The 18,927-nt window shown below is 37.4% G+C and overlaps 2 annotated features.

The window, feature by feature from the left end:
- Positions 5,292-6,491: an enhancer, noted in NCBI's record as "MED14-independent group 3 enhancer chr5:33311980-33313179 (GRCh37/hg19 assembly coordinates)". NCBI's record gives its function as "activates an origin of replication core promoter dependent on BRD2, BRD4, P300/CBP and CDK7 cofactors, and independent of MED14, by STARR-seq in HCT116 cells {active_cell/tissue: HCT116}" and the evidence as "EXISTENCE:reporter gene assay evidence [ECO:0000049][PMID:35650434]".
- Positions 18,171-18,696: an enhancer, noted in NCBI's record as "NANOG hESC enhancer chr5:33299775-33300300 (GRCh37/hg19 assembly coordinates)". NCBI's record gives its function as "activates a minimal SCP1, AML or CMV promoter by ChIP-STARR-seq in naive H9 embryonic stem cells {active_cell/tissue: H9 hESC(naive)}" and the evidence as "EXISTENCE:reporter gene assay evidence [ECO:0000049][PMID:30033119]".

Raw genomic sequence — 18,927 nt, 5'->3', positions numbered from 1 at the left:
GTCTCTTCCCAATCCCCATCTCCTCTCTCTGTCTTGGCCAGATAACCACTGTCCTGAGCTTTATGGCAATGATTTCCTCAGCTTGCTTTTTAGTTTTGTGCACTACATACTGTAAGAGTTGCCCGAGCCTGGTCTGGAATAGAGCTCGTCTCTGTGATTTAATTTACAAACACTTTTGGGGAGAAGATTAGCATCCCTCATACAGTGCCTGAACAATTTTCCAGTAAACTTTAATGAGATATAGATTTGTTTTGGAAACTACTCACTCATCAGTTTTGCTCTCAGTTGACTATCAGTCAAAAATCTACTATTAATATCTTTAACTAAACTTTCATTCTTTATATATCTAGACTAAAAATAACTACCTCATCTGTCTCCTTTCCTATAAAATGTACATATGAGGAATAAGTGTTTGAATAGATCTCTACCTTTCCCTTGTGTTCAAAATTTTTTTTAATATTTGCTACCTGCTTATAAGTAAATAGTCTGAGAAGTTTACTTTAATGGTAAGCATTACTAAACTCTGTATTCTAGTGCATAGGGCTCATTTTTGAACCATATGAAATGGATTTATATTTATTTTGTCATCTTTTCTTATTTCACTGAATAGTTTGTTTTTAAGAGCTGACCGTCTTGTTCTATGTAGTTTAAGAGCTGACCATCTTGTTCTATGTAGTTTAATTATTTTTATTGCTGTGTAGTATTACTTTGGAGATACATACCAAAATGTATTCATCCTACTGTTGATGGACACTTTGTTGTTTCCAAAATTCCAGTTTGGGATAGCTAGGGACAAGAGTTTTAGGACCGTTCTTGTGTATGTATCTTGATGCAAATACGTAAGAATTTCTCAAGGGAATGTACCCTGGAGTAGACTTGATGAATCATAGAATATGCAAACACTCAATTATAGTAAATAATGCCCACTTCCTTTTTCCATTGTGTTTCTACCAATCTGTACTACTTGCAGCACAGTACCAGAGTTTCCATTTGCTCAATTTCCTTACCCAACACATTGTATTTTCAGACTTTCTAATTTTCTTAATTAGTTTGGAGTAAAGTAGGAATCTCATTCTGTCTTAAGTTAAAGACAGTATTTGTCTGATTAGAAATGAGATTGAATACATCCACATAGATTTATTGATCACTTGGATTTCCCCTTTCATGATTTTCCTGTTCAAGCCTCTTGCCCTTTTTTCTATTCTATTAGTGTTTCTTTTTTTTAATTGATTTGGAGTTCCTAAATATAAAAAGTCCTATGTTGCTAATACATTCTCCCACCTTGTACCTGTTTTATGCTCTTTTCAATACAATCAAATTAATAATCTTTTCCTTTGTGGTATGTGATATGATTCAGATGGGGACACAGCCAAACCGTATTACCAATTGTTTTCAAAACTTGTTTGACTCACAGATTACTTTTGCTATTCTCCAGACCTTGTCTTCTGTGGAACAAACTTTGGGGAAAATAGGTCCTTGCAAGCTAACAAATTAGGGTCAATTTATGGTCCTTATTTTACAGATAAAGTAATAGAGACTGAGAAGGCTTATATAACTTGGCAGTCATAGCACTGTGAGTGGTAAAACTTAGACTTGGATTGGTGTTTTTAATCTTTCTCAATATTGCTTCACTAAAAATATAATTTTTGTTGAAAGAAAGTAATTCATGATCAGGGACTCTCCACCTCCTGTCAAATGCACCACTAATGGACAAAAGGATTAGGTTTCCCTAATGTCCTCATTGGTATTATTGCCTGGTGTAACATTTCTTACAATTAGACACCTCCAAATTCCCCACTGGCAAATCTGTGTATACTTCAGCATATAAACACCTTTTGAGGGCCTCTTATCTGGAGATTATTTTTTTCCATATGATGAGATGTTTAGTGTGATTCCTGCATGAGAAGACCAATCAGATCTATTAAGGCCTTTTTGGTCAGAGGATGTTCAGGTAAATTGTACAGCTAGATTGGATGTACCCCATCCTCTTCCCACTCAATCACTGCTTACTAGTGGTTTCTTGGGAGCTTGGGCTGGCCTCTGGTGAAATTTGTTGGGGTTCTATCTGTATTATTTCCCATGAAGCCATTTTTCAGTCACATGGTGACTGATGTTCTATAGGATGCACAAGAAGTATTTTTTTCTTCTATAATTTTTTCCTGTTTTGTTTGTTTGTTTGTTTTTAATTTCCTTATCTCTTGAATTTGTCTTCATGCCATTGGCTGGAGTATGAAGTTTTCTTTCTATGAAACAATCTTTGAGAGGGTAGAGTCAGAATCAGCTGTGTAATTTGCGGGACCAGTGCAAAATGAAAATACGGGGTCCTTTTTTCAAATATTACCAAGAATTTCAAGACAGGTACAGCCGAGCATTAAACCAAGAGAGGGGCCCTTCTGAAAACCAGGCCCTGTGAGATTTCACAAGTCACATGCCCCTGAAGCTGGCCCTGAGTAGAGTATCAGGAGTCAGAATATTGCAGTTCCAGTTCTGGTTTTGCCGCAATCCAGTTGTCTGATCACTTACTAACCCATTTCTTTTTCATCTCTTAAACAAGGAGCTGAATTAAATAGTTTCTGAGATTCTGTTCAATGATAAGGTCATTTGCAATTTCTTAGAGATAAACGGAGTGGTACTTAATTCATTAGCTATTCATCTTTAATTATCCTCCACCCTAAAAAACCACCCACATATACACATTCAGTGCTCAGACAGGGGGTAGTGGTGGGACTTCCTCAACACTAGACATTTTGGATGACTATTTCTCTCTTCATTGTATTTTCAGTAACAAATGACAGCCAGAGAAAGGCCTTTAGGTTGCCATTTTTCACTGGGGAAGATGAGCACAAAAGGGAGAGACTGAGTTTGCTCTTAGAAAAATAAAGAAATTTTTCGATGTGGCTAATCATCTGGCTAGAGGCCTGGTTTAGTCCAGGCATACACACATTCTGCATCATCTAACTATGTACTTTTATCCAGTTATTTGTCTTTATGTTGAATAAAAAGTGTCATTACCATGGAAATTGCTTTGTTGCATCAGGCTTTGTTTGAGATAAAGCAAAAGAACACATGCTTTTTTCACAATGCCTGTTTATATTCATGGATAAAATGAAAACTAGAGCTATAACATTGTTATTAACTAGTTCTTTTAAAGCAACATAAAAATTATAAGGAGCTAAACTGAAGAGATCCATAGGTTACTACTGGATTCACAAAAAAACATTCAGAGCTGCTGCTGATTCCTTTGTGTTCTTAAACATTTTCACAAATCTTCTGTGCCCCCCACACTTTTTAAGATTTGTTTTTTATTTATATACAGCAAAATTCACTTTTGGGTATGTGTACAGTTCTGTGAGTTTTGACAAATGCATAAAATTGTGTAACCAAAGGATACAAAACAGTTTGATCATCCTCCCCTGAAGTTCCCTCATGGTGATCCCCTCAACCTTAACTCTTGACAACCACTTATCTGTTCTCCATCCCTCTCATTGTGCCTTTTCCTGAATATCATATAAATAGAATCGTGCAGTATATAACCTTTTCAGGCTGGCTTATTTCACTTAGCAAAATGCATTTGAGATTCATCCATGCTACTGTGTGTATCAATAATTTGTCTCCAATTGAGAGACATTTGGGTTGTTTCCAAGTTTTGGCAATTATAGCAATTCATGTATGTGAATGTACAAAAATTCATGTATGTGAACATGGGTTTTCATTTCAGGATAAATATTTAGGAGTGAGACTGCTTGGTCACATGGTAAATGTGCATTTCAGTTTGTAAGAACCCGTCAAACTCTTCTCCAGAGTGACTCTACCATCTTGCATTACCAATGGGAATATTGTTTTTGTTTCTTATTCTTGCCAACAGTTGGTATTGCCAGATTTTTTAAATTGTAGTTATTATAATAAGTAAATAATGACACTTATTGCAGCCTTTTTTTTACATTTCCTCAATGATCATTGATGGTGAACTTTTTTTCATATTCATATTTGCCATCCCTATTACTTTTTTGGTGAAGTGTCTGTTCAAATTTTTTTTTTGCTATTTTTAAAACTTAGATTATTTTCTTATACCTGAGTTTTGTGAGTTTTTTGTATATTCTAGATACAAGTTTTTTTTTTTTTAGAAATTTTATTCAGAAATATTGTTTCCCCATCTGTTGCTTGTCTTTTCATACTCTTAATACCTTATACCACACACAAAAATTAACTCAAAGTAGATAATAAACCTAAATATAAGAGCTATAAAACTCTTAGAAGAAAATAAATTCAACTTCATCGTAATTAAAAGCTTTTGTTCTTTAAAAAAGTGAAATGATGACACACAGAAAGGAAGGAGATATTTGCAAACTATGTATCTGCTAAGGGACTTGAATGTAGAATATATAAAGGATTCTTACAACTCAATAATAAAAAGACAAATAATTCAAATAAAAATGGGCAAAGGATCTGAATAGACATTTCTCCAAAGATAGAGAAATGCCAATGAGCTCATGAAAAGATGGTCAACATGATTAGCCAGCAGGGAAATGCAAATAAAAACCATAATACATACTCAGTAGATGGTTATAATGAAAAAATGACACATCATAATAAGTGTTGGTGAGAATTTAGAGAAATTAGAACTTTCATATACTGTTGATGGGAATGTAAAATAGTACAGTCACTTTGGAATACAGTTTGGCAGTTCCAAAAAATGTTAAACAATCAGGAATCTCCTCCTATGTATGTACTGAAGAGGAATGAAAACATATGTTCCCTTCTGTGTGTCTCTTTGTTAAATCTCCTTCTGCTCACTCTTGTAAGGATACATGTGATTGCATTTAAGGCCCACCTAGATAATCTTACCATCTGAAGATCCTCAACATAACCACACCTGCAAAATCCCTTTTGCTTCATGTTAAAAGAAAATCTTCAGACAAATGTAATGCAGTTTATTTGAGCAAATAGTGATTCATGAATTGGGCACTTCTCAGAATTGGCAGAGGTTCAAAGAGCTCCACCCATCTGTGTGAGCAGGAAGCTTTTATAGGCTTAACATGGGACCAAAGTGAAGAAATCACCTGATTGGCTTTAGCTAGATGTTTGCCTTATTTGGGCATGGTGTGATGAGGCATTTGCGTTAACGGATATGGTCTAATTTGTTGGCTACCTGTGATTGGCTGAAGCTTCGCTGTTTGTGATTGGATAAAATGGCTATTTGTTACAAAATATACTCTGAATTAGGTTCTGGTTTGTTTACTACTGAGTTAGGTTATAGTTTGTTATGTAGGAACTCAAAGTATGGAGAGAGCCTCTGGCTAATGGCCTCCTGCTTATTTAATTTAACACTTAACAGATAACATTTACAGGTTCTAGAAATTACAATTTGATATCTTTGTTGGGGCATTATCTGGCCTACCTCAAGCTCCAAAAGGCCTGTTTTATAAAGTATCTCTTTGATGGGAGTTAACTTCAAGGGGGCCTGTCTACCCGCAAGGGGCATGTTTATGTTTGGTGGTAAATTTGAGGAAGAAAGACCAGGTGATCTCTTAATCCCATGAGTCTACTTCCTAGAAACATTACTGGATCTTCATGTTTCCATGATGTATTTAACAACCCAGCCAAGAATTTTATATATATTACCTAATGTACTTTTCAAGTTTCAAGCTATTCTAAGCTTTGTCTCAGATTTGTGGTAAACATGGTGTGCATTTGTGACTGGCTGAAATGCCTCATTTTGGCTTGGTTCATACAAAGTGCTGATATTTCCCAGAAACCTTATTGGGTCAGGAAACCTTCCTTTTTGTTCATTTTATTAGTTCCTGTGTAAACTGTGAATTTCTATAAACACGAGAGATCATTTTGTTGGACATGTTCTCCTCTGATAGTTCTCACTGCAGTACCTAATCATGAGTCTCCTGACATGGCTTTAGGCTTCTAGGAAAAGGAAAATAATGTCTTATAAATTGAAAACACAATGTGAGGATGTACATTTAAAAATATGTCCTCTAAGAGTTCAAGGATTTGAAATTTGTGTAAACTATTTATTTTAAACTCCCATTGAACTCTTTAGAGAAAAAAATCTGAGACTCCTATATGAACTGGAGGTAATGACCTGAGTTTTAAAGCTATGATTAGAATTTTTGCATCAAAATGGCAGTTTTCTCTCAGAGTGCTGACTTGAAGATGGTGCATTTATTGTGATGATTTGGCCCCTGTGCAAAAACACTGGTGACTCATTTTGTGTGGGTGATTCTCTTTAGTCCAGTTTCTGAATAACTGAGCTCTTACTACCTTATAGTCATCCTTAATATTTGACCACAACTGGTATCACTCAGCCTGCTTATTCACTCCACTTGCCATTCCTTATTCTGAGTGATTTGGGGTTATTTAAGAAAATTAGATTCATCTATATTTGCTACAGCTGAGGCTACTCAAAATAATTTGAGCTGATGTCAATAATGAAATGGAACTCCAAGAAATTGTAAGTAATGGCAGCTTAACGAGAGTAAGTGAATAGATACCAAAGAGGAAGACCTTCAACAGGACAATACAAATTTGGATATGTAGATTTAGGTGTGAATGTGTTAAAGATAAAATAAATCACATGTCTTGTAGTTACTTTGCAACCCAAAGTACAGAATCCTTTGTCCATTGTATCCGTTGCCTATCTTCAGCCAAGAACGAATGCTTTTTGCATATTCGTCATTTATCGAAACTGGTATAGGCTATTAGGAACTAAATAGCCATAGTCTCTGATTTCATGGGGACTTAATTAGTTAGAAACAGACAAATAAAAATACATAATATGTCATGGGTAATAAATGCTTCTGGGAAAAATTAAGGTCAGAGAGAAAGAGAGTGATGGGGTGGAACTATTATTTGGATAAACTGGTCAGGAAAGACCTATCTGATAAGACGATGTTTCAGCAGAGCTTTGAACAAGTAAGACAGCTAGATTTGTGGGTATTTGGGGGAGTGGCAGGAGTGGGGTGTTGAAGAGAGTGAGCATTTTCCAGAAGGAACAGCATTTGCAAAGAAGTATGCTTGGTTAACATTGTGAACTATGAGAACAAACATGTCTCAAAAGACCATTCAGGACAGTTTAAGAATGAAGCACAAATATACAGAGGAGGAAAAATCTGATTTGGGAAAAAATATCTCTCAATCAAAGCTCAGGATAAAAACTTTTCTCGGCCGGGTGCGATGACTCACACCTGTAATCCCAGCACTTTGAGAGGCCGAGGCCGGTGGATCATGAGGTCAGGAGATCGAGACCATCCTGGCTAACACGGTGAAACTCCGTCTCTACTAAAAATACAAAAAATTAGCCAGGTGTCGTGGCGGGCGCCTATAGTCCCAGCTACTAGGGAGGCTGAGGCAGGAGAATGTCGTGAACCCGGGAGGCGGAGCTTGCAGTGAGCCAAGATGGCGCCACTGCACTCCAGCCTGGGCAACAGAGCAAGACTCAGTCTCAAAAAAAAAAAAAACCTTTTCTTTTTGTGTCTTCTGCTTTTCATCCTACTCATCAGCATTTGAACTTGCTCTCCCTTTTAGTTTTCTGATCTCAAATTATTTGACTAGAATAAATGTAATCATGCTATTCTAGATACATGTCCATGCACTTAGGATGAATCATTGTGATTCAGTCATTGTGTTATTTAGCTTATGTTAGTGCATTAAAGTTAAGACACATTGCTAAGGGCAAGGGAGGCTTAGGTGGAATGGGGAAAGATTTTTTGAGCAATACTTTTCATCTGGATATTTTTGCTGAATTATCTGTATATCTACCACAATCCTAATTTTTCCCTCTTGGTTTCTAAAGATATGCTTTCTGTTAAGTCTGGAGAAAAACCGTATTTGGAGGATGGTTTCTCAATGCTCTTAAACAGCAAAATGAAGACTCTTGATGAGCTACCGGATAAAGTTTCTCAAGATGAGGGTTTTATTTTATAAAAGAGGAGTTGGGACATAGTTGTAGAAATCAGAGTTTGAAGGAACCATATAGCTCCCTGTGAATTCCACTCCCTCAATTTACGCTTGGTGGCATGAAAGCCCTGCAAGGCTAGGGGGAATGGAAACTCATGTATACTGAGTGCTTTCTGTGTAGCAGGCATTATGCTGGACACCTTCATGTGTATCATCTTATTTTATCAGCTCCACAATTCTATGAAGCATTGGCAGGGATATGTGTTAGCTCTTCTCTATTTGCCCACAAAGTCTACTCTGCACACTGCTTCACCTTCTTTGCTCTGGGAGGCTAACCTTTCTGCATCTCATTAGCCAGATTCCTTTGCCAACGGGAAGCATAAGCTGGAGATCAGAGGGTGGAAAATGAGAGAGGGCATGGTCTTTATACCCTATCTCCTGTCTGGTCAGAGTCACAGTTTAATGGTGATGGGCAAAAATGGATCGAATTAGAGGGAAGAATCAGATGGGAAACTCAGATAATAAGCATAGATGGTTCTTTTAGGTATCTGGGGCATTTTGTTCTCTCAGTTCTTCAAACATAATTACATATTTGAAGTTTCATTCTGTATCTGGATAGGATTGTATCTGTATCTGCTTGATAAGAGGAAAATCCTCTGCAGTTTCCCAGTGTATCTTGGCTTGTCTTTAGCTTTGGCTAAGCATAAGTCAATACTTACTTATTTGACATATGCAATCGTGAAGACTTTTCTTTCTGTCTTAATAAACATGATACAGTGTGTCTTTTGCCTCTGGGATCTCTTAAAATGTGTTTGGAATTAAAAAAAATATATAAATATACACATACTCATATATATGCATATATATATATTCATGTAGCATTTTAAAATCATGTCATAGTTTCTGAATGTGTAGAGCTAGGATTCTAAATGAAAGAATAAAGGAAACCATGGACTTGGATGGTTTTAAAGTATGCTTCTTTGTAATTTTGAGAGGAAAGTCAGAAAAGAACTGCAAAAATGATGTATGAATGTAATCACTCTGTCTTTTGTAGCCTTGTTTTCTGTTCTTTTTTTCTTGACCTTGAGCCAGTTTTCATTCTGTTGTATACAACTCTTTCCAGTAGAACGGATTTACATTGCTTGCAGCCTGGACTTGGCCCCTGAAGAGATATTAGAGGAACAGTTTAATGGTTAACGAGTTATGTTGGGAGCTGAGGTTGCTGAGGCAGAACAGTTGTCCAGACTAGTTGCTTGGGGAGCAAGGTTGTCTGGATGGTGTAAGTTTAACTTAATGGCTTTGGCAGTGGCTGAAGGTGGAGGTTAAAGCATGTCTTAGAGTGGGACAGAGTAAAGGGGCTGCTGCTCTGAAGTTCAGTTGCTCACAATTTCCATTTTATTTTCAATGAACTTAGGATCCTCTTGTAGTTTGGGGGCTTATAGAGCTCTGAAAAAGGTAAGATAAGAAGGGCATTAGCAAACTACCTGTGGGGAGTTAGGTGTCTCTGAGCAGCAACACAAGTTGGCTGTGAATAATACAGAGCTGGGCTGCTTATCCTTAAATATTTTAGTGATATGCTTCATCCCCTTGCTTCTTTCTCCCCAATAAGGAGAACTTCCTTTGCAGTAAATGAGCTTATAATGTCCAGGGAGGAGTTTTGGCTGTAAAATTGTATGACTTGCCTTTGCTTTTATTCACCATAAATATTTATATTTCAAGATGCACTCCAAACCCCATAACAAAAGATTTTAAAACAGTCAGGCCCTAAAGGAAATACATGTGAAGATAATGGAAACCAGGCTGGTAAGCCTAAAAAGAATTCCACGTCCTTGATCTAGCTTTGGTTGTGATTGCAGAAAAAGGAGAGTTAGTATATGAAAAGGTAGCATTCTGTCTAGTGATACGCTGCTACTATGAGGGGTGGGTGGTGGGGCTTGGGTTTTGAGAATCTATTTGTTCATTTAATAAAAATATTAGACACCCTGTAAAGGTTAGTTTTATTCGTTAGAGGAAAGGTACATTTATGGCCATAGACTATGACCTGAATTTAAGGCCAGATAAATTAAAAGGGCTTGTTACTAAGCCTAGGAAGAGCCCAGGTGAACACATTTGGAAGGATTAGGAAAACTCATCATCTCAACAAGGGAAAAATAATTTGACAAAACATGCATGCACAGGTTCACTAGCATGATCTCAAGTTAAAGGGAATTTGCTTGGAGGCTGAGACGAGCATTTTTAACAAAATTCAGGAACAATTTTGAAGACAGAGTAGAATTTTTTATTTGGAAGACTTCTATTTTGAATTATATCAGAAGGTAATTTCTTTTTTTTTGAGATAGAGTCTCACTGTATCACCCAGGCTGGAGTGCAGTGGTGTGATCTCGGGTCACTGCAACCTCCACCTCACTGGTTCAAGTGATTCTCCCACCTCAGCCTCCTGAGTAGCTGGGATTACAGGTGCGCACCACCACACCTGGCTAATTTTTGTGGTTTTCTTTGGGTAGAGAGGAGGTTTTCCCATGTTGGCCAGGTTGGTCTTGAACTCCTGATCTCAAGTGATCCACCCTTGACCTCCCAAAGTGCTGGGATTATATTCGTCAGCCGCTGTGCCCTGCCCAGAAAGTAACTTACAAAGATGTGCCAACAGAGATAATTCCAGGGTCTGTATCATAACTGTAGTGTGCTAAAGGACACTAATTTTAACTCCAAAATATTTGTACCTAAATAATTTTAAATTTGTTTAAGAAGAAAGGCCACTGGGATCTGGTGACATCCATTTACCTTAGATGAGTTTGTTCATTCATTCATTCTATAAACCTTACCTGAGAATAGACTATGTGATAGGCTTTGCAATAAGCACTGTTTGGTGAATTGTAAGAATGCAACACTTCTCAGAAGAAGGTGGGGGTTTTGACATTTAGGGAAGAAACTTTCCTGAAAGAGAGCTTCTAGGTCTTGGTAACAAGCCCATGTAAGTGAGGGTAAGATGAAGTTCTCATGCGGAGAGATACAGGCTCATCTGGAGGCCTCTGACAAATGTTCCATGGGTCTTTTGGGATGTTTCCACAATTTTATTTGAAATGTCCTTCTTTAATTTTAGCTCCTCCTTTGCTTTATTTGCCAGGAAAATTCTTCAATTTCTGTGTAAAATGCAGACATTTTAGCTTAGAAAGAGATGAACTGTGCAATTTTTTTCTAGTAAAAATATTCTTCTTACCTCCCACTTTTAATTCCTCAGTATCTACCACTACATTTGCTAGGGGTCTCCATTTCCATGTATCTCTTATTTACTAATCTTGCATGTTGATTTATCTTTTTCCCCAGTATATCCAATGTTTGGGCAAATTTGGTTATGGCTTGACACACAGATGGAAACTATTTGAGTTTTTAAATATCCAAGGCCTTTGCTGTGGTTTCTAATGTGTGTTTCCCAAGTTTCTAATAATAACTTCCTCTGATCTTTCTGGTGGCAGCCAGAAGCTACATGGGTGATTGAGTTGCTCTTTCTACATGTAATTTATTGAGTTTTCCTTCACTGGAAGAGAGGGCTATTCTTGGACAGTAAAAGAGTTGTAATATAATTGATCTGATTTGTTATTTTCATTCTCTTAGTCATTATCTTTGCATGAGTTTTTAGGGCTTAGGGTAGGAGGTTGGTATAAATAGCAGTTATTTGTTTTCTCTGATCCACTTCCTCTAAGAATTTTACCTGATTTATGGAAATTTAGTGACAGCTTGAAATAGCAGTGTATCTTTTTCTAAGTATGTTTATGCCCTTATTTTAATTCCAGATAGATGATAAGGGTGCCTTTTTAAAAACAGCCAACTTCTTTGTGCTCTGGTCTTCATTCTTCTTGGACACTAGTTTCTCTAACTAAGACCAATGTTTTCTGAAAGTCAGTTGATTTGTTTACTAAATGTTCATTTTAAAATGGAAGAAGAGTCTTAGAGTTGGAAGGAATTTTAGAAATTCTTTATCCATCCCTCTATTCCCCATTCAGTGAAGAAATGCATTCAGACTGCTTGAACAGCTCTATTGAATTCAGTATCCTACCTCACGGGAATCATCTCATTTGTAAAAGTTCTAATTATACAGTGAGCAAAAATATGTCTCCCATAGTATCTACTTGTTTCTTCTAGATGATTTTCTGTAATCAACTGGAATGTCTCATTGTTTTACATGTTTAAAATGGTAACATCCTTTTTCTCATAGACCAGATGTCCATGGTCAGTTCATACAACATGGCTTTCAGGTCTATCATTGTTCATTTATTTTTTTCCATCTACAAGAATTTTTTTGAGAGTCATATTGGGCTGGGCATTGTGCTACCCACTGAGATTACAGAGACTGATAAGAATTAGACACTAAATGAGAAAGTTTAGAGTATAATGAGAAAGATAAATGAAACATAAGAATTTAATGTGATTGACGCTAATTAGAAGTATATACTAAATTCTATAGAACACATAGTAGAGGCATCAAAGACATTTTGTTTTCTTAAAGAGTTAACTAAATTGAGACTTGAAGGAAAAGAGATATATGGACTGAGTAATAACAAAGGCACCAAAATATGAAATAGTGCGTCATATTCATGTGAAGCATGGCAAGAGTGAAAACAGTGTACGGTGCAGTGATAGAAGAGAAGGCTTGAGAAGGATTTATAGGTTATAGATAAGGCCCAGATCATAAAGAGTCTTACACACTTCATGGAATTTGAGCTTTATGCTGAGTACTGTGGGTAGCCATCGAAGTATTATGAGTATGGGAGTGACTTGATAATATTTGCATGCTAGTCTGATCACCTTGGCAGCAGGTAAAGGGAAAGTGGGTTAAAGTAAAGCAATCTGGAATCTGGGAGCCTAAGTAGGCTACTGAGGTTGTTCTGGAAAAACTTTGAGGGTTGCGAATTTGAGGGAATTTGAGGCAGTGGGGAAGAAGGAGAGACAAAGACAATGGCCAGAGGAGATAGATAATAGAGGTTTATGGCCGGGCATGGTGGCTCATGCCTGTAACCCCAGCACTTTAGGAGGCTGAGGTGGGTTGATCACCTGAAGTCGGGAGTTCAAGACCAGCCTGATCAACATGGAGAAACCCTGTCTCCACTAAAAATACAAAATTAGCGAGGCATGGTGGCACATGCCTGTAATCCCAGCTACTCGGGAGGCTGAAGCAGGAGAATCTCTTGAAGCCAGGAGGTGGATGTTGCGGTGAGCCGAGATCGCGCCACTGCACTCCAGCCTGGACAACAAGAGCGATACTCTGTCTCCAAAAAAAAAAAAAAAAAAAAAAAATGGAGATTTGTATCTAATGTCCTGATTTTCAAACTTTGCTGGAAGTTAAAAAAAAAAACAAAACTGTTGCCTGGGGCCTGCCCTGTGAGATTCTGGTTAATTGGTATAGGGTGAAGCCTCCGCATCAGGATTTTGAAAGGCTCCCGAAGAGATTTTAATTGTACAGCAAAGTTTGAAAACAACTGATCTGTACATTTCAGGAACTGAATAGGTACTAGTTTTCAATATCCTATTTATATGTCACCAAGAAGTAGACAAAATGCTCTAGATGTGTTCTCATTAAGTAGGAAAATTACCTTCTTGGATCAAGACACTATTCTTCTTTATTAATGAAGCCTAACTTGGAATTTGTTTCCTATTTTGGCAGTCATATCACATTGTTTCATACAGTAAGTTTATAATTAACTAACCTACATGCCTCTGTCATAGGAATTATGTTAAACAAGGTCTCCTCTAGTCCCCACATTTGCAGTTGATATTTCAGACCTAATTACAGGCTTTTACATTCAACCATGTTTAATGTTATCATATCAGGTTTAGCGCATGGTTCACTAAATCTTGATTCTTTATTTAAACTCTCTTATCCTTGTTATCATAGATATAGACATGCCTTCTAAGTCCTCAAACAGGTAATTAATAAAATATATTAAATAGGACAAGGACAATAATTTTTGAGTTTTAATAGAGTACAGAATACTCTGCTAGTCGTTTATGTGTGTGGGTGTGTATGGGTGTTTATGGGTATGGGTTCACACAAGCTTCAGGGTTGGGGGTTACAAAACCTACTTTCCCAGCTTTAAAGCTTGTAGGCTCACATTTAGAGCTCAGATGAAATATTTTATTAAAAGTTCCTGGGAGGTCTAGTTGGGTGAATTCTGCTTCTGTGAGCTCCTGTAATATTCTCAGGAAGTGTCCTTTACTCCAGAAAAATCTTATGTATTTCTCACCACCTTATCACCACTAGAAATAGTATGAGAATTCTTAAGCTCCTGATTTACAAAAATTCTCAAAGAAGTCTCCTGATAAGGGCCTGATAGTCCATTGAAAGATATTTGGTCAAGAGGTTTTCTACAAGCTATAATTTATAATATGCTAAGGATAAAGGTTGGGAAATGACCACTAATATCCCTTTCTTTGGAGAAAAATGCTTTTTAAGCCCTGAATGACTTGAATAAATGCTGTTTTGTTTAAAGTATTTTGACTTTAACCTCAAGGGTCTAAAGATGTCAGAAGTCCAAATATCACTAAACAATAAAGCACTTGTTAAACTGACTAAGGAATGTAAATGCCATTTTCTAACAATTGATGGAAAGCCATAGATAAACTGTGAAACTTGCTAATATGCTTTCACTGGATTTCATTTAGAAGAACTCTACTAGACAGAGGCCTTTGACCCAAGGGCATTTACTGTAGACTTTCCTCCCAAAATGAATCTTTTCTGAGTTACAGACTTTAGCAAAAGAGGATTGTTGTGAAAAACCCAAAGACATTTTTTTAAAGCATTTTCTGAATGCTAAGAAATAATAGACATTTTTAATCATAGCAAGTTGAACAGGATTTTTACTATGAGTAAAGAAGGCATGCGGCAATGCTGAAGGCTTCTTTGGAAAACAATTATAAAACTATTGCAGAATTAGAAAACCAATTAAAATAGTCATCTTTAATTTTGATAGTTGAAGTTTTTATTAGGCTGTTCCTAATAAAAAAAGTGCTAAAGAAGATGAAGTTTCTTTTCTGGTCTGGCTGTCACTGTTCTGTTTTTTTGGTCCCTTTTGCCTTCTGATATGCCTTACCCCAGAATGTCTCATGCCCTTACATACTGCGACCAGGGCTGTCCTCCCACCCTCTACAGCACTACAATTAACATGTCAAACCTAAGCCTTTGGACAGCATCCTTCAGGCTCTCTTCTTTGTAGCCTGCATTGAATCTTTTTCTTTCGGCATCCTCATACAAACCATTTCATTAGTTTCCAATAAAGGGTTCACCTTGAGGGCATATGTCTTATTATTTTACTTTATCCTGAGGGTAATTCACAGAAGAGAATATACAGATGTCCAATAAATATATGCGTGTAGGATATATCACTAGTAGACAGGGTTATGGGAGGATGAATTACCCCAACACAATCTGGCCCACACGTTTTTACCTCTCAATCTTGCTCTCCCATGCTCACTCTCCTCCTGTCACCTTGCTTTCAACATCTCAAGCATGCACCCCTTCAGGGCTTGCACTTACTTTTTTTTTGTTACATTGAAAGTGAAACCTTCCCTACCTATTCTATTTAAAATTTCACCCTCTCCTCCCAGATACTCCCTCATCCCCTCTCTGCTCTGTTTCTCTCATGGCATTTATCACCACCTGACATATGATTGATTGATTGATTATCTATCTACAAACTCTAAATTTAAGCTATATCAGAGCAAAAGTTTTTGTTTGTTTTGATCATTGCTCTATTCTATATCTGGAACATTGCCAAACAATTAATATCCCTCAAATATTTGCTGAATGTATAAATTAACCCTTTTTGGAAAAGGATCTGGCGATATTTATTCATACTAAAAATGTGCACGATAATTTTACTCAGCAATCTTACTTATAGATTAAAGTTGGCTGCATATGAATTTGCTACTCCTCCTATGGATAGGTTTATGTCCAATCCTCTTGAATCTAGGTGGGCTCTATGACTGACTGACCAATAAAATATGGTTGAAAGGACACTGCCAGTTTCCAGGACCAGGCCTTAGGAGATTAGCAGTTTCCATTTTCTCTCTCTTGAACATTTGCTTCTAGAACCAGCTGCCATGCTGTGAGGAAGCCTAAGCAGTCCATGGAGAGGCCTAGGTGGAAAGGAATTGAAGTCCTTTGTTAACAGCTCCCACCAATAGCCAGCAACAACTTGTGGTTGCTCTTGGAAATGAATCCTCTATCCGCATTTGAGCTACCCCAGCCAAAGCTGCATGAGTTGTTGTGCTAAGCATTGCCCCAATTTTAAATTCATAAGCTTTTTTTGGTGTGGTTTGTTATCTAACAATTAATAACTGGAATGCCACTTTTTATGACTCTATCTTATAGAAATAAGAACTCCAGAAAACAAGAATGGACGTATATGGGAATGTTTATAACAATGTCCTTCATGATTTAAAAAAAAGAAAGAAAAAATAAACTAGAAACAACTTGAATGTCCATTCTGTACATTATGGTTAAAAAGTATTGCATAGCTCCATTGTGGACTATATTTGGCTATTTTTTTGTTTATTTTTGAGACAGGATCTCACTCTGTTGCCCAGACTGAAGTGCAGTGGCATGAATAAGGCTCACTGTAGCTTCAACCTCCTGGGCTCAAGCCCACCTCAGCCTCCCCAGCAGCTGGGACCACAGGCACATGCCACTATGCTCAGATAATTAAATTTTCTTTTTTTTATAGAGACGGGTTCTCCCCATGTTGCCCAGGCAGGTTGCAAACTCCTAGGCTCAAGCAATCTTCCCGCGTTGGCCTCCCAAAGTGTTGGGATTACAAGGGCAAGCCACCGTGCCTGGCCATATTTGGCTATTAAACCATATGAGTTAAGGCTATACATATCAACATGGAAGGATATCCAGAAAGATAAACGGAATAAAAAGCAAATTTTGGAGTAAAATGCTTAGTCTAATTTCACGGAAAACAAACAAACAAACAAACAACCTCTATAGGCTGGGCGCAGTGGCTCATGCCTGTAATCCCAGGGCTTTGGGAGGCCAAGGTGGGTGGATCACTTGATGTCAGGAGTTTGAGACCAGCCTGGCCAACATGGTGAAACCTCATCTCTACAAAAATATAAAAATTAGCTGGGGATGGTGGCGTGGACCTATAGTTCCAGCTACTCTGGAGGCGGAGGCAGGAGAATGACTTGAACCCAGGAGGCAGAGGTTGCAGTGAGCTGAGACCATGCCACTGTATTCCAGCCTGGGAAACAGACCCAAGATTCCATCTCAAAAAAAAAAAAAAAAAAAAAGAAGAAGAAGAAAGAAAACAGTATAAATATGTATACTTTACATATATTTACACAAACATAAAACATAAAAAATATAAAGAATCTATACACCAAATTATTAATGGTGATTTTGTCAAGAAAATGGGATTGAGTAGGGAAGCTAGAAACTGTTTTTTTCTTTAAACTCTTCTATATTCATTAAACTATTACAAAAAAGTCACAAAAAAATTACTTTTGTAACTAAAAAAATATCCTGGGTTTCAAGCAAAGTGGTGGTGATATGCGTGTATGAATGCAGGTATATATTTATTGGGGAACTTTCTTAGAAGTGCTGCTCTGTTCAAGGAGAGTGGTTTCTTTGTGGGCGCAAGGTTGGGGAGAGGGCCTCAGGGGCTAGTGACATTGAATCCGTTTTCTTCCATTTCTGACAATGCCTTTGTTGGGGAACAGCAATACAAGTGTGACTAGAAGAAAAAGAGAAAGATTATGTTTCTGCTTTAGTGTAGTCAGTCCTCCTACGTGTTAGCAGGGAGGAAATCTTCAATACTGGTATGACAGGGCCAAGCTTTGTGGTGGTTTTGGAACCTGGTTATAGGGATTTCCAAGTGGAAAACAAAACTGTCTAGTTACTAATTTTGGAAGTTTTCAGATACCTTTGACTCCTTTTTAGGGGATCTTCTTAGAAATAGGTTTTCAGAGGGTGACTAGTAAATCATTTTCCTTCACGTGGAAGAAGGGGAGAATACTTCTGTAATGTAGTGATTTATTTGCTGTGTGGAGAGGCGATGTGAAAGCAGAACTTGCTTTGAAGATTAGGGACCTGTCTTTCATTAGTGGTGAGGAAGTGGAAAGAGGAATCAAAAGAACCAGGCTCTGATCCTGGTTCTACTACTGACTAGCTGACTAGCTGACTGACCTCTCTGAGCCTCTGTTTACTTTTCTACAAGGAGATATTACACAGAAAGAAAGATTATGCCTTTCATTGCCTATAGAAAACGATCAGAATATGTGCTTTCCTACAGGAGTTTATAAAAATAGGTTACGTCTCACCGTTACAGCAGCTAGATGGCACCACCACCTCTAACATTTCTTTTTTAATGCTTCAACTGTAATTGCAGCTGGTACAGAATGTGCTTTCTTTCCTTCCATGATAGCATCTGTCAAAAGCTATGACTTTTAGATGAAAAGGAATTTAGCTATGTTGCTTCGAGACATCATGGATCTCTCCAAAGGAGATTCAGCATAGATAAACCTGAAGTCTTTGAGAAAACTAAAAGCCAGTAATTGTAGAAGATAATCACTGTATTGTAATTGTCCCTTGGGTATTAGTTGCCCTAATTTCATCAGAGTTCTCTCTTTGTTCCCCAGAAGACATGCTGACAGGCTTAGCCTGAGGGAGTGAAATTATGTGAGCTGGGCAGTGTTGCGGTTAGGGAGACTCTGTCCTTACCACATCTCTAGCTACAAGGAAAGAGACCTCCTATGCTTTGTTGACTGTAGAATCATAGATTTTTAGCAATCCTACTTCTGCATTTTACAACTAGGTACATGAGACCCAGAGAGTTGAAGTGATTTGCTAAAAAAATAGTATATACTAGTCTCAATACTCTTATTTCTTGTTTTTCCACTTGACTGCTTCTGCCTGTTTTTTGTGTATGTGTGTGTTTTTAACTTAAATAGACTGCCTTGGGGGTTACAGCTAAATGGGAATTTGAGGGATCGCTTAATATTAAAAAAAATCCCATAAGCAGGGTG

The sequence above is a fragment of the Homo sapiens genome, chromosome 5 (genome assembly GCF_000001405.40).
Source record: "Homo sapiens chromosome 5, GRCh38.p14 Primary Assembly".
NCBI classification, from domain to species: domain Eukaryota; kingdom Metazoa; phylum Chordata; class Mammalia; order Primates; family Hominidae; genus Homo; species Homo sapiens.
The sequence above is the reverse complement of the archived record's forward strand: the minus strand, read 5'-3'. Positions and strand labels throughout refer to the sequence as shown.